The sequence below is a fragment of the Homo sapiens genome, chromosome 4 (assembly GCF_000001405.40).
Source record: "Homo sapiens chromosome 4, GRCh38.p14 Primary Assembly".
Lineage (NCBI taxonomy): Eukaryota > Metazoa > Chordata > Mammalia > Primates > Hominidae > Homo > Homo sapiens.
The window spans coordinates 88,821,268-88,837,388 of record NC_000004.12 but is presented as its reverse complement, the minus strand read 5'-3'; the positions used below and the strand labels follow the sequence as shown (position 1 = coordinate 88,837,388).

Sequence of the window (16,121 nt, the reverse complement as noted above, 5' to 3'; positions counted from 1 at the left end):
TCATTTATATGGGCTGTATCTATTGACATATAGATATAACTGAAAAATAAACAGTTTTAATATGTATTTATCACTATTTAAAAATAATCATTTTGGTCAGGCGCAGTGGCTCACACTTGTAATCCCAGCACTTTGGGAGGCCGAGGTGGGTGGATCACCTGAGGTCTGGAGTTCAAGACCAGCCTGACCAACATGGGAGAAACCTCGTCTCTACTAAAAATACAAAATTAGCCAGGCATGGTGGCGCATGCCTGTAATCCCAGCTACTCAGGAGGCTGAGGCAGGAGAATCACTTAAACCCTGGAGGCAGAGGTTGTGGTGAGTGGAGATCGTGCCATTGCACTCCAGCCTGGGCAACAAGAGTGAAACTTCGTTTCAAAAAAGTAAAATAAAAATAATCATCATTTTAACATAATTTTTTTTTTTCTTGAGATGGAGTTTCACTCTGTCGCCAAGGCTGGAGTGCAGTGGCACAATCTCGGCCCTCTGCAACCTCCACCTCCCGGGTTCAAGTGATTCTCCTGCCTCAGCCTCCCAAATAGCTGGGATTACAAACACCCGCCACCATGCCCGGCTAATTGTTGTATTTTTAGTAGAGACGGGGTTTCACCATGTTGGTCAGGCTGGTCTCAAACTCCCGACCTCAGGTGATCCACCCGTCTCAGCCTCCCAAAGTTCTGGGATTTACAGGCATGAGCCACCGCACCTGGACCATTTATTAAATATAACTACACTTTTTAAATGAAAAAGAGTGAGAAGATCTCATTGTTTTCCATTTTTGCCAAGTTCTAACAACTGGCTTAATATTAATAGAAGACAGCTGGATTCTCATATCTGCTTCTGCATTAAATCTGTTGCCATATTTTAGAAAGCTTGACTGTACATTCATAAATGAATCAGAGTGAAAAAAGTAGATGACATCTTAGTATTACTATGACAATTTTTATACCTTGCAGATCCTCCCAAGAGAGTCTCAAGAACCTCCAAGGGTACTTGGGCCATAATTTGAGAATTTCTGCTATGCAGTATAACCACTAAAAATACTTTTAAGGACTAGAAATGTCATAGAAATGTATTACTGACTACTAAATGAAAAATAGTGTTACAAAACAATACATATTGCATAATCTTTTTTATTGTGGTAATGTATATATAACATAAAATTTACCATTTTAATCATTTTAAGTATGCAGTTCAGTAGTATTAAGTACATTCACATTGTCCTATCTTTTATGTATGAATTTTTTTACAATGAAAGAATATAGAATTTTGTTAAACACTGGATATGGAAGCAATGGGATTGTGTTTAACTTTAATCTTGTCTATATTTTTAAATTTTTTCTAGAATGAACATATACTGTATAATTTATAATGCAAAAAAAATTTGTTTTAAGTCAAGGATGGATGACAGATGCTTCAAGGAGGAAGTGTTAATTGTCATGTTTCAGAGAAATTATATAGAGCAGGGGTCCCCAACCCCCAGGCCATGGACTGGTACAGGTCCATGGCCTATTAAGAACCAGGCCACACTAGGAGGTGAGCAGCAGGTGAGTGAGTGAAGCCTCATCTTTATTTACAGCCTCTCCCCATCACTAGCACTACTGCTTGAGCTCTGCCTCCTGTCAGACCAACAGCTGCATTAAATTCTAATAGGAATGCAAATCCTATTGGGAACTACACATGCAAGGGATCTAGGTTGCACGTTCCTTGTGAGAATCTAATGCCTGATGATCTGTCACTGTCTCCCATCTCCCCCAGATGGGACAATCTAGTTGCAGGATAACAAACTCAGGGCTCCCACTGATTCTACATTATGATGAATTGTATAATTATTTCACTATATATTACAATGCAATAATAATAGAAATAAACTGCACAATAAATGTAATCACTTGAATCATCCTGAAACTACCCACCCCCTAGTCTGTGGAAAAGTTGTCCTCCATTAAACCAGTCCCTGGTGGCAAAAAGGTTGAGGACCACTGATGTAGAGTGACAACTGAGCTGCTTTGTGACTTGCAATTGTGACTTCAGTCATTCAGGAGGAGAAAATCCACTGAATGGACAAATCAGAATAGGCATGAGAAGCTGAGAAAGGATGAGTTTTGTTTTGATGGATGGGTATGAGCTAGGGAGGATATTCCAGGCTAGGAGAAAGACCTAAACAAAAACTAGTGATGGGAAAGCAGGGCACGATAGGGGGCAAAGTGGTTCATTCAGCTGGGCCCCCAGTCCATGTATGTGTCTGTAGAGGAGGAGAATACCAGGCCTGCTGAGCATGTGTGGAATTTAGATTTTACATTGTAGGCTATGAAAAGCAATCAAAGCTTTGTGACATGATTAAAGCAGTATTTGGGGAGATCAATTCTGTACAATCTGAATTTAAGGTGAACAAGACCAAAATAAGTAAAATTCACTAGGAAAAAAAAAGCTGTAATGCAGAGGTTAATACAAATTTAAATGCGGGAAAGGGAGGGTGAAGGGGAATGGAAGAGAACAGTGGTGGTAATAGACTAATGGACAGGGAAGGAAGAGAGAGATAATAGTATTTCATTTAAACTTTTATTAACAAAGTATTCATTCAGGTATCACTTGGTTTGGCCAAATTCTGTACTATTTGTTTTGTAGACAGTGATTTGAAGTCTAGGATGATATTATTTCCAGAGGTATTTACAGTTGTTAAAATTATTTCACTAGGCTGTTTTTAAAGTTTTAAAATTGGATTGATTTGTTTTAAAGTTGTCTTCTTAAAGTAGTATTTTGGAGAATTATTGTGGAATTATCATTTGTTTTTAATGCATTTTTTTCTACTTAGTATTTTTATTGTATATATTTAGAGTGTAAAATATGATGTTTTGATATGCATAGTGAAATGCTTAGTACAATGCATTTTCTTTATTTAAATAGTGAGTTAATTTCAGTGCTTTTTTGGGGATTCACTAGTTTTATTGGCTTGCTTCATTAATGTATGTCTAGCTTATTTCCTAATTAATTTGAAATTTTATTTTTTCCACTTACATATTTCCTCACCAAAATTCAATGAGGAAAAAAAGATTTTTGGTTTCAAATTCTAATAATGCTCTATACATGAATGACACTAAGAAAAGATAATATAAACATACAAACAATTATTTGATGCACTGAGTCTAATTTTCTGAAATGGATTTTTTTTTTTTTTGCCAGGCATGGCGGCTCACGCCTATAATCCCAGCACTTTGGGAGGCTGAGGCAGGAGGACCACTTGAGTGAAGGAGTTTGAGACCAACTTAGGCAACATAGTGAGACCTTATCTCTACAAAAAAAAGTAAAAAAAAAAAAAAAAAAAAAAAAAAATAGCCAGGCCTGGTGGTGTGCACCTGTAGAGCCAGCTACTTGGGAGCCTGAGGTGGGAATTGCTTGAGTCTGGGAGACGGAGGTCTCAGTGAGCCCTGGGTGACACAGTGAGACTCTGTCTCGTAAAATTAAATTAAATTAATAAATTAAATAAATTGGATTTTTTTTTTAAGACGGAGTCTCACTCTATCACCCAGGCTGGAGTGCAGTGGCGTGATCTCAGCTCACTGCAAACTCTGCTTCCCAGGTTCAAGCGATTCTCCTCCCTCAGCCTTCCGAGTAGCTGGGATTACAGGCACCCACCACCACACCTGGCTAGTTTTTGTATTTTTAGTGGAGATGGGGTTTCACCATGTTGACCAGGCTGGTCTTGAACTCCTGACCTCAGGTGATCCACCTGCCTCAGCCTCCTAAAGTGCTGGGATTACAGGCGTGAGCCACCATGTTCAGTCTTGGATTTTTATGTGGAATTTTTAAATATTTTGTTTCATTTTTATTTTTGTTTTTAAATCAGATCATCTAAAATGCAGTCAGAGTTTGACACTTTAAGGACTAATACTGTAGTTTTTTAAATAGGACCTATTCTTTTTTTAATACTTTGATTTTTCAAAAGAAAATGTTTAATGAACAAAATAAGGCAGAAGGCTTTAACTCACTGAGGTGCTATTCATTACTTATTTGTTTTTTAAGTTCCGGGTACATGTGCAGGGTGTGCAGGTTTATATAGGTAAACGTATGCCATGGTGGTTTGCAGCACCTGTCAACCCATCACCTACATATTAAGCCCCGTGTGCATTAGCTGTTTTTCCTGATGCACTCCCTCCCTCCAACAGGCCCCAGTGTATGTTGTTCTGCTCCCAGTGTCCATGTGTTCTCTTCGTTCAGCTCCCACTTATACGTGAGAACATTTGGTATTTGATTTTCTGTTTCTGCATTAGTTTTCTATGGATAATGGCTTCTGGCTCCATCCATGTGCCTAAAAACGACATGATCTTGTTCCTTTTTACGACTGCATAGCATTCCATGGAGTGTGTATACCACATTTTCTTTATCCAGTCTATCATTGATGGGCATTTGGGTTCATTCCATGTCTTTGCTATTGTGAATAGTGCTGTGGTGAACATACATGTGCATGTATCTTTATAATAGAATGATTTATATTTTGGGGTGTATATACCCACTAATGGGATTGCTGAGTCAAATGGTATTTCTGTTCTAGATCTTTGAGGAATCACCACACTGTCTTCCACAATGGTTGAACTAGTTTACATTTCCACCAACAGTGTAAAAGTGTTCCTTTTTCTCCTTAACCTTGCCAGCCTCTGTTGTTTCTTGACTTTTTAATAATCACTATTCTGACTGGCATGAGATGGTATCTCATTGTGGTTTTGATTTGCATTTCTCTAATGATGAGTGCTGTTGAGCTTTTTTTCATGTTTGTTGGCCACATAAACATCTTCTTTTGAGTAGTGTCTGTTCATGTCCTTGCCCACTTTTTAATGGGGTTGGTTTTTTTCTTGTAAATTTGTTTAAGTTCCTCGTAGACTCAATATTAGACCTTTGTCAATTGGATAGATTGCAAAAATATTCTCCTATTCTGTAGGTTGTCTGTTCACTCTGATGATAGTTTCTTTTGCTGTGCAGAAGCTCTTTAGTTTAATTAGATCCCATTTGTCAATTTTTGCTTTTGTTGCAATTGCTTTTGGTGTTTTCATCATGAAATCTTCGCCCATGCCTATGTCCTGAATGGTATTGCCAAGATTTTCTTCTAGGGATTTTATAGTTTTGGGTTTTACATTTAAATATTTAATCCATCTTGAGTTAATTTTAGTATAAGGTATAAGGAAGGGGTCCAGTTTCAGTTTTCTGCATATGGCTAGCCAGTTCTCCCAGCACCATTTATTAAATAGGGAGTCCTTTCCCCATTGCTTGCTTTTGTCAGGTTTATTGAAGATCAGACGGTTTTAGGTGTGCAATGTTATTTCTGAGTTCTCTATTCTGTTCCATTGGTCTATTTGTCTGTTTTTGTACCAGTACCATGCTGTTTTGGTCACTGCAGCCTTGTAGTATAAACTCAGGTAGTGTGATACTTCCAGCTTTGTTCTTTTTGCTTGAGATCGTCTTGGCTATTTGGGGTCTTCTTTGGTTCCATATGAATTTAAAAAAAAATTCTAATTCTGTGAAGAATGTCAGTGTTAGTTTAATGAGAATAGTATTGAATCTATAAATTATTTTGGGCAGTGTGGCCATTTTCACGATACTGATTCTTCCTATCCATGAACATGAGATGTTTTTCCATTTGTTTGTGTCCTTTCTGATTTCTTTGAGCAGTGGTTTGTACTTCTCCTTGAAGAGGTCCTTCATTTCTCTTGTTAGCTATATTCCTGGACTTATTCTTGATAACCCAAATAATTATTACTTCCCCTTATTTTTATTTTAAATATATTTTCACTTATTTATTTACAGGGTCAATTCAAATAAAAACACTTCACTTGGTGTTAAAGCAAATTATTTACCAGCCAGTATATTGACATTAAGAGATTTTTATGCTTGCGCTTGGTATTTCATGTCTCAGGAATATGACGAGTTTATTTTATGTTTTATAGACATAGAATCAGCCAGTCAGTTACCATATCACACTAAATAATTTTGACATGTCTCTAAGGAAGCCCTGCTAAAGCCTGCTTCTCCGCTGTCAGGAAATATCATTTAACAAGGTGAAAGTTCAAGGGGACAATTTAAGGCAGCTGATCTCAGGTGTGGTAGCAGCTGTTGTGTGGGACATGACTTATTTTATGAGAACAGAAACACTATTATCCGGACTCCCACGGGAGATTTGGAGAAAGTCATGCCCAGAGAGTCCCATTCCAGGAAAATGTGCTTGAAGCACTTATTTATTGGCAATAATCACTAACTGAAAGTCCATCTGGCAAAACTGTGGATTTTTCCCTGTCCCAGAAAGTTGAGGAACAATTACATAAGTTGTCTCGAAAATTTTATTTTTAACCACTTTTTATGGATAATTTTATAGTCCCTCAGTTCTTACAAGAAATTCACTTAAAAAAAAAAAAGCATCCACATGAATTTCTATACAACTTTGCTACTTCATGTACCATGAATAACTGCTTGTCTTTTGATTTGAAATCAGTACTTAATCTTTTTGGGGAATGTTTTGAATCTTATTTTCTGTGTTTGAAATGTTGGAGCCAGTTCGTTGGTGAAGAAGGGAACCCTGAATCATGTACTTCCAGCTGTGGAGGCCTTTAAACCCCACCTCTCTTAGCAGCTCTTCCCTCCCCTCTTCACTGACAGCTTGACAAGATTTTAGAATCCAAATGAATGAACACTGTGAGCCATTTGGGAGTCCAGCAAGCCTACTCAGATAGATTTTAATGAAGTAAGCCCGTATCACTTTTAAAAGCAAGATACATCATCAGAATTAAAGAGGGGCATCTTTGGAAAAACAATGATATAATTTCTATCTCTATGGGATATTTTTCTTTTGCAATCTTATATAGACTGGATAAATCTAATAAATAAATGAGGAAACACATTAAATTATGATGATTTTATTGTTTTTATTTTGGCCTTCAGTAATGCAAGCATATTTATTTCACTGTTACTCAAGAAAATAGTAGTACCTAACTAGAAATCCATTATTCCTATTAGCCTCAGCTTGAGTATCACTGTTTGCTTTCTAAAACAAGCTTTTTATATGGTTTTGTAATTATTCCTTAAGAAATACTTGAGCTTCCTTACATAAAACAACTCACATACCACCTGTTATTTCCATACATTAGTTTTTTAAAGAGGAATACAATCAAGAATACAATTTAAAACTTGATTTTCCATCTGTTTTTTCTTTGCACCTTCCTCTTTCCTCTAACACCCCACCTGCACCACATCCTTCCCCCACTTCAACTGTCTCCTGCCACTCAGTAGCAGAAGAAGTTTGTTATGGTCCAGTGTATGCCTCAGTGTTCAGACAGCCATTATGTAAGACTGTGTAGCCATTATTGAATATATATATGCGCACACACACATATAAATATAAACCTCAGGTGAGAAGAAAGGATTCTTTATTTCCCATATCCAACTAATAATATGTATATCAGTAAGGATAATACTTTATTATCTTGAGGGGCTATTGAATGGTGGAAAAGGTATGGACACTGGCATTTAGATACTGGCTCCATGTCAGCCACTTACTAGCTGAGCATTCACATTAATTGACTTCTTCATTTCCACATCTGTTAAAATGAGCTCAGCATAAATTCACAATAAATACTTGCTGCTTTACCTACACGCACTCCTCTGGTTTCTTCTCCCTTTTTTATTGACATTTTGCTGTTATTGGTAATGATGATGATATTGTCCTGTAAGCCCAGAAATCCACTAGTGTTTTAACACAGTTTGCTGGAAAACTAGTTTACTCAAGAGCTTGTATAACAACACCAGAATATCTAAATTGTATATGCACTAAAAATCTTGGCTTCATGATTCTAAATAACTCATGTTAGATTTAGTCCTTACAATTTATAAATACCATGTATCTTTTGGAGGGCATTGCTCCTTAGTGTGTTTTACAAAGATTGACAAGAATATGAGGAAGAACTCTTGCCTGAGACTCACTCTGTCACCTAGGCTGGAGTGCAGTGGCACAATCATGGCTCACTGCAGCTTCAGCTTCCTGGGCTGAAGCAGTCCTCCCACCTCAGCCTCCCAAGAAGCTGAGATCACAGGCACATACCACCATACCCTGCTAATTTTCTTTTTTGTAGGGATGAGATCTCACTATGTTGCTTAGGCTAGAAGGACCTTCTTATCAAACTTGTAAGAAATAAATTATTTTAATATATCATTATATCTTAGGAAATAAACCTATCTGATTTTAAAACAATATCTGAAAATACATTACTGTGGCCAAGAAATGTTCTTGGTTCTTTGGTTGTTTTCACTTGATGTTGAAATTAAAAGAAACACAGCCACATGGTTTTTGTTGCTCTTGATAGGACAAGAGCAAATGCAGATATTGCCAAACACTTGGAATTTGCTGAAGAAGTTATGTAAGAAAATTAGAAATCTGCAAGCCAGCTAAAACGTGTAAAAGGAAATTGACAACCTAGGAGAAACTGGATAATGTAGAATGCTTAAAAGATTTCAGAAGTTTTGGATAGAATCTTACTTTTAGCACATCTGTGATTGCACATCAATATATAACCCAGGTAGTTTATTCCTTAAGCCAGTTATTTGTTAGTATTATTTTTCATTTGAACCTACATGTGGCATCCAGTTTATCTTATGTGTAGCCCTACAGTAGAAAGTGTTAAAAAGTGGGTAGAATATTGCTTGATAAGTTTAAATCTAATAAAAGGAGCTATACTTCAGAATCTATAGAAGAGTAATTGATGTATCCATTAATTCATTCTGCACTTATTGAGTGTTCTGTGTCAGGGCTGCAGGAAAGATACAGTTCCTGTTGTGGAAAATTTTCATTCCAAAAGGAAGATAATATATACAGCAGATTCAAATAATAATAAAACTGTACAGGAAAAAAAGATAAAAATCATCATCGATACAAAGGGCTGTATGACTTTAAAAGGTCAAGAGATTTCTTTGGCCAAACATAGTGGCTCACATCTGTAATCCCAACACTTTGAGAGGCCAAGGTGAGAAGACTGCTTGAGCCCAGGAGTTCAAGACCAGCCTGGGCAACATAGTAAGAACCTCATCTCTACAAAAAATAAATTATCCAGGCATTTTAGCATGCGCCTGTGGTCTCAGCTACTCAGGAGGCTGAGGTGGGAGGCACACTTGAGCCCAGGAGGTAAAGGCTGCAGTGAGTTGTGATGGTGCCTGCCATTACACTCCAGCCTGGACAACAGAGAGAGACCCTGTCTCAAAAACAAACAAACAAAAAAACATTTCTTTCAATTAGCCTAGACCTAAAGTATAGGTAGGATTTTTCCTGAAGGGAATGAAATGGGAAAATATTCCAGACAGAGGGAACAGCATGAGCAAATATTTAGGATAGAAAAGTTCAGGGCAGATTTGAAAATAGTGACCCAGGCATATCTGGAGTTGTTTCCTCAGGGGAGGTTTAAGCAACTGAACTGGAGAGGCAAATTGGGGTTAATAGGTGGAATGTTCTAATCATCACATTAAAAGGATTGGGGTTCATGTAAGAGGTAGTTGGGAGCTATTGAAGTTTTTGAGTACAAAAATGAGTTACCAAATCGCAAGCATGGTAGGATGTTGACTAATAGTGGAATGTGTGCTATGGTGGCAGAAAGAATATTTTGAACGTTATCCTAAGAGTACAGATAACCTAGGCAGATTGATTAAAGAAACATGACAGGTCAATCAATAGATTTGGTTGAGGGTAGGAGAGGAGAGGGAGGAGTAAAGATGACTCATGGTTTAAATCTGATTCACAAAGGGAATAATTACATCATTATCAAGAAGGGCCAGGAGGAAGAGAAATTTGGAGATCAGATAATATGAAGTCTTGAATGTTTGATTGGGTTGATAATACTAATAATTATTGAGCACTTAACTATTTGCCAGGCACTATTCTATATATTTTACATGCATGGCCTCATTTATTCCTCAGAGCAGCCTCAGAGCTTTTAAACAACCTGCCCAAGTTTGCACTGCCTGTCAGGGGTGAAGTCAGGATCCAGCCCCCAGAGGTGTAATTGCAGCGCCCAATTTATTGAATGCGTGTATTGAATGGTGTTGGGCTTGGAGGCAGGGCTAAACGAGGAGGAAAGACAGATGAAATCAAAGGCGAATGTTGATCAAGAAGGTTTGGTGAATTCCCAAGAAAGATCACAGAGAACCAAAGACTTTCAGAAAACTGAAGGTGAGTGTTTCAGAAAAGTCAAGAGTAGGAGAGGATCTAAGAAAAGGCATTTGGATTTAGTGGTCAAAAGACCCTAAAAGCAGTTTTGGAAAAGTGGTAAAGGTCGAAGTCCATTGGCATGGGATGGAGGAATAAGTAATTTATGAGGAAGTGGAGGCAGCAGAGATAGATTTGGGGGAAGTCTGTAAGTGGGGAAGGAAGAGGGAAATAGCTCTGCAGCACCAGAGGGTAGGACTGCTGAGAAGCACTTTCTAATACTGAGGGACACTCACTTGGTTGCCTGTCAGAAGGGAGGAGAAGCAAGTAGCGAGGGGCAGATTCAAGATGTAGGAGAGACCAGGCTTCTTCCAGAGGAAGGAGAAAATGATGAGATCCAATACACAGATAAGAGGCTTGAGACCTATATGTGAGGACCCTTTCTCCTAAACCAAGAGGACGTCATAAAGAGTGAGGCAAGATGTGTGCTGGAGTGGGAACAGGAGTGGTAGGTGGAGCAGAGAAGACCAAAGGCACTCGCTTATATTTGATGATCTTGATTTTCTCAGTCAATTGGCAGGTGAAATAATTAGTGAGTGAGAGAGGTTCTGTTTTGTGGCACTGGAGAAGATTTGAAGCGGGAATGCAGTGAACAGTCAAAGATAATAAAAAAGGTTGTAACACAGTATTGTGGTTCAAACTAAGTTTAAGTATTACGAATTTTTAGTATAACTAGTTACCAAGTTATGAGATTTTCTTTTGCAATCGTTAGCACTCTGGCAATAGACAGCCCAGATGGCAGGACTTATAAAGGGGGAAGAAGTGGAAGATGCTAGGGAACCCATTTTAGAAATAACTAAATGCTCAGGAGGGTCAGGAATGGTTTTTTTTTTTTTTTTTTTAATCCTACGTGCCAGTTGGTATGATTGCAGGCTATCCTCTGTGGACATCACAAAACAGTTGGAGTTGAACAGAGAGCTAAGTGAAAAGGCAGAGGAATGGGAGAGGGAGAAGTAGTGGGGGTTAAGAGGGATGCACATTAAGGGGCTCAGTGAAAGGGAAATGTAGCCAGGGAAATGCAGTTGAAATACCGTGTTTGAAAAATTAGAAGTGACAGAGGTCATGAATGGCACTCCCACTCCCTGACTATGCACTGACAAGAGGATGTTAGAAATAGAAATAAGAAAAGTATTTAAGTGATCAAGAACTCTGGCAGTGGCTGGGGTAGAGAGAAGGGGCTGCAATCAGGTACAAATTCAGAAACAATTATCAAATAATGCCCCCAAAATAGATCAAAAACCATAAAAAGGAGGAATTGTTATAAATGATGGAGACTGGAAAAAGCATGTAGTTATTGAGTTATAGCATTAATTAATTTTTTTAAAAAAATTGACATTTTATGTAATGTGGCATGTTAGAGGAATGTTGATAGGGCAACTTAATTTATTAGGAAATATATGTGAAATCTAATATTAAATGTAAATTGCAATTCAGTTTAACATATTTTGAATGTATTGAGTGTTGTAGTTCAACTTAACATTTTTTTTAATGCTGGGTCCTTTATTATTGAGCTTTTATGTCTATTTTAGCCAGGTAGTATTAATGTGTTCATAAAATTCAGAAAGGACAAAATAATATTTCTGTCACTTGAATATTAACTATTTCTGAAAATATTTGTATAAGATATTTAAAACGTTCATGCCAGGCGTAGTGGCTCCGCCTGTAATCTCAGCACTTTGGGAGGCTGAGGCAGGTGGATCATTTGAGGTCAGGAGTTCGAGACCAGCCTGACCAACATGGTGAAACCCCATCTCTACTAAAAATACAAAAATTAGGGGGGGCATGGTGGCGAGCACCTGTAATCCCAGCTACTCAGGAGGCTAAGACAGGAGAATCACTTGAACCTGGGAGGTGGAGATTGCAGTGAGCCGAGATCACGCCACTGCACTCCAGCCTGGGTGACAGAGCAAGATTCCATCCCCCCCCCAAAAAAAAAAATTCACACAGAATAGAGTCAGCACTGTGGTTCCACAATTCCTCTATATAGCAGCGAGTTCCAGAATAGACAGGAGAAATTCCGATTCCAGGTTCTGTTCTGCCACTACCTTTCCATGTAAATTTGAACAGGTTATTTTCTAGTACCAAGTTTACTCATCAATAAAATAGATATTATGATGTATAATTGTGATTTTCTACCTCAAGCAGCTATTTAAAGTGTTAAGCTTAAGCCAGTAATCCCAGCACTTTGGGAGGCCGAGGTGGGCGGATCACCTGAGGTCAGGAGTTCGAGACCAGCCTGGCCAATATGGTAAAACCCCATCTCTACTAAAACCACAAAAATTAGCCAGTCATGGTGGCGGGCGCCTGTAATTCCAGCTACTCGGGAGGCTGAGGAAGGAGAATCGCTTGAACCCAGGAGGCGGAGGTTGCAGTGAGCCAAGATTGTGCCACAGCACTCCAGCCTGGGTGACAGAGCAAGACTCCATCTCAAAAATAAATAAATAAATAATAAAGTGTTAAGCAAGAGTTAAAGTGATTTTTTAAAATAAAAATGGTATGGAAATATATGGAACTAAGTTATGTTACTAGAAAATCAAATTAGAATTTGTAAATCTAGAATCAAAAAAGTATAGACAATTTCAGTTGAAATAAGTTTGGGGTTAAATCAACTCCTTTTGTTTTAAAAGGCTGATTTTAGTTACTGATAGTTTATCATTATGTATGATGATAGTTTTAGGATGGCAAATCTATTTTCATAAACACAGATTATTTAGTCAGACAATGAAAATGTTTTTATTAGCAGGTATAGCAAAGAAAAGCAGATGTCTTATAATAAATAGGACCTTGTGTTCTAAATTCAGAATTATGAGTGATCTATATAAAATTGGGGAAAAATTACAGGGGAAGGGGATACCTCATGCCTACAAGCCCTCACTGTTTCTGAATGTCATGTTCCTTCTACTACTAGAAGTGATGGTCTGGACTATGTTGTAATTTTTTACAACTCATGATGTGAAAAAAATATCATGTAAATATATTTCTGCTATTTTTCTTAAAATGTATAAAATCTATGGATTAGGATTTATGTTCCTAAAAATAACACCCTGGTATTCTACACCAAAGAAGAAATTATAAGGGGAAGGTGATAATTAACAAATATTTAGAAGACTTTATGGAAAAACTGATTTTGTGTTACCTATAAAAAAAAATAAAAATAAAAAGCAACCCCCCCAAAATGCTGTTGATGTTCATGGAGAAAAATAACTGTGTAAACACATTCAGTTTTATAAGAATAAAATGCAGAAATAGTAAGTTGAAACAATTTTCATTAGAGTGGATTCTGATCCCTTAAGAACTTGGGCAGAGACTTAGGGCACGTATCCTCCCCAGAAGTGGAGCTACGTGCGCTGGGTGATGTCACCAGCGACTAGTAACCACCGCAGTGTAAACAAACATCAGCAGGAAATACATGTGGGTAGGGCAAGGGTCTAGAGGCATGCTTTCCTTCTAGAAAAGTCTCACTCCTTTCAAGGCTAGTGTTTTTGTTTCGTTTTGTTTTGTTTTAAGGAAGAAAGGGGACGCAACATAACTCTTGCCTTCTGCTACAGAAACCTTTAGTTTCGTGGGCAGTGTCTTTCCTTGACAAATGGAATCCTTGCTGGCAGTCTCTGTAATGTTGAGAAGTACAGGACTCTTGGCTCTTGCTGCAGTTATTGGTTGCTTGCCCCAGACTGAAAATCTTGTCTGTGGAACTGCTCAGAGGAAAGTTTCAAGTTACCAGAACTAGGCAAGCCCACTGAGGAGCAGGAGCAGGAGGAGAGAAGGAGGAGGAGGAAGAGGAGGAGGAGGGACCATTGAGGAGCAGAAGGAGTAGGGTGCGGGGGAGGAGGAGGAGCGCCTTTAGTGCTGCAGCAGCTGCTGCTCTGATTGGCCCGGTGGTTCAGCTGCTTCCCTGGAACAAAAGGTCAAAGTGGACTGCAGTGTAAATGTAGAGAAGCAGCCGATAAAATAGCATTGCCTGAAGAAGTTTGGAGGCTGAGAGCAGCAGTAGACTGGCCAACTGCAGAGCAAGTTGTTTCTCCAGCCGTGCGGTGCAGCCTCATGCCCCCAACCCAGCTTAGCCACTGTAAGAAGACGTTCACTGTACAGACGACCAAACTTGCCGTGGAAGAGACAGTTGTGAGATTCCCTTGCAAATTTACATACGAGAATGGCTTGTGAAATCATGCCTCTGCAAAGGTAGTATTTTCCTATTTTATTTTATTCTGCTATGTATTTTTTGAGTTGTATCAAGCCATATAACTTTGCCAGTACTTGGCATCTTTTAGTAACATGCTGCAAAGTGTGTAGAGTCCGTTGTACATATGGTTCCTCCCTAAGAACAGAAAAAATTAAATATTATACTGCTCTTTTACTGACATTTTGCCCAACTTATCTTTTTCACTTGATTGTTGTATTTAGTTATATCCTTCTCTGAATGGAAATGAATATAAGAAAATACCTTTGAAATCTGAAGAAAAACATGGACTGAGAAGTATAATGAGCGAGTTTATAATAAAAACTGAATCCGCTTCTTAGCAGTGTTCCTGCTAAGGCTATTTTAAAGGATGTTGATAGGCTGAAGACCTTTTAAAATGCATCACAAGATTCTTCTCTTCTGGAGTTCAGATCTAGGCAAGGATTTTCCATGAATAAGTACATCATAATATGTGAGAATAAATGTTAAGGATAACATTTCCCCTTCAATAATTCCAGACAGATTTATTACACAAATAGCATTTTTTAAAACTGCTTAGTAAGAATGATTGAGTGCAAGACTGTTTTTGTTCCTTCGTGATTATAATATAGATTGTGGGTCTGGGGGGAGGCGAAGGAGTTATACCAAAGCAGAGAAAGGTAAATTTAAACAAAGGGTCTTATGAAAAAGAACACTGTTGTGAACTAAGAAGTGAAGAATGTAGGCATGGAGAGGGCCTCAGGGCTGCCCAAGGTCACATTTTAGGATTTTAAACATTACCTTTGCTAATCATATTGTCCTATTTCAACTTCAACTGCTTTACATGCAGTGGCATTTCATTCCATAGAAATGTTTCATTTAGGAAAACTATAGAAGGTTTTATTAGTAAAAAAAAAATTTTAAATCAAATAGTAAATGTGGTTTATTTAAGGATAAAAAAAACTAGACAAAAACTAATTTCATTTTTAAAAACCATGCCACAAATATTTCAGTGAATGTTTTTGTTTTAGCAATGAAAAATAAGCTTTAAAACATTGCTTATTTGCAAAATGGTTTCTACAGATACTTACAGTGAGATAAAACAGTATAGTCATTTTTCCTTCACTGTACTAACAAGGACACTGTCATGGGAACCTGATGGGGGTGTCCAAAGAGTTCCTTTTGTAAAAATTAAGAATCCAAGGGAGCAGAAAGTGGTTTACAAATATATCTAAAATTTTTCTACGTGAACTCAGTGAAAATGTCCACATGCTTAAAGCTTGTGAGAGACTAAAACACTTTGTGGAGTCTTGATTTGGTTTCCAACTTTAAAGTTGGAGACATTTTTCCCCTTATAATGACATCAGTTCTTAAGGGTTTTAAGCGAATTGTATTCTAGATAAGAATATTGGCTACTACTGAACTCTAATAGCCAGCCATGTGATGCTCTAATAATTGTTAAGAAGAAAATAGATCTTTATACTGTTAAAACATTGTTTAGGCAATCAAAACGATTAAAGCTAAAATAAAACCATCATTATTTCCTGTAAATTATTTTGTATTTTTAGTCATGATTAATGAACCTAGTAGGAATAAATGCAGGAATAATTTGAATTTGCATTCAAGAATGTTGAGTTGCTACTTTTGTTTCTTTGCATTACCATTCTGAAGAGCGCTGTTACGTGCATTCACTGCCGCAATGTTTACCCAGCTCTTAGAGTTTAATTTGAC

At 37.7% G+C, this 16,121-nt stretch overlaps 1 protein-coding gene across 24 annotated transcripts in view, besides 2 other annotated features; it reads left to right on the top strand.

Moving 5' to 3' along the window:
* FAM13A (family with sequence similarity 13 member A) overlaps positions 1 to 16,121 on the top strand; it is a 331,226-nt gene that overhangs the window by 219,797 nt on the left and 95,308 nt on the right. For 6 of the 24 annotated variants that reach the window (XM_047449487.1, NM_001265580.2, XM_017007634.3 and 3 more), the window contains exon 1: positions 14,157 to 14,413. The exons of the other annotated variants lie outside the window; for them this stretch is intronic. In XM_047449487.1, coding sequence (XP_047305443.1) covers positions 14,385 to 14,413 — 29 coding nt within the window. In that variant the 5' untranslated portion in view covers positions 14,157 to 14,384. Of the gene's footprint in view, positions 1 to 14,156; positions 14,414 to 16,121 lie in introns of those variants that run through there. 24 annotated transcript variants of the gene reach the window in all.
* Positions 13,399 to 14,085: an enhancer, noted in NCBI's record as "H3K27ac hESC enhancer chr4:89744455-89745141 (GRCh37/hg19 assembly coordinates)". NCBI's record gives its function as "activates a minimal SCP1, AML or CMV promoter by ChIP-STARR-seq in primed H9 embryonic stem cells {active_cell/tissue: H9 hESC(primed)}" and the evidence as "EXISTENCE:reporter gene assay evidence [ECO:0000049][PMID:30033119]".
* Positions 14,086 to 14,773: an enhancer, noted in NCBI's record as "H3K27ac hESC enhancer chr4:89743767-89744454 (GRCh37/hg19 assembly coordinates)". NCBI's record gives its function as "activates a minimal SCP1, AML or CMV promoter by ChIP-STARR-seq in primed H9 embryonic stem cells {active_cell/tissue: H9 hESC(primed)}" and the evidence as "EXISTENCE:reporter gene assay evidence [ECO:0000049][PMID:30033119]".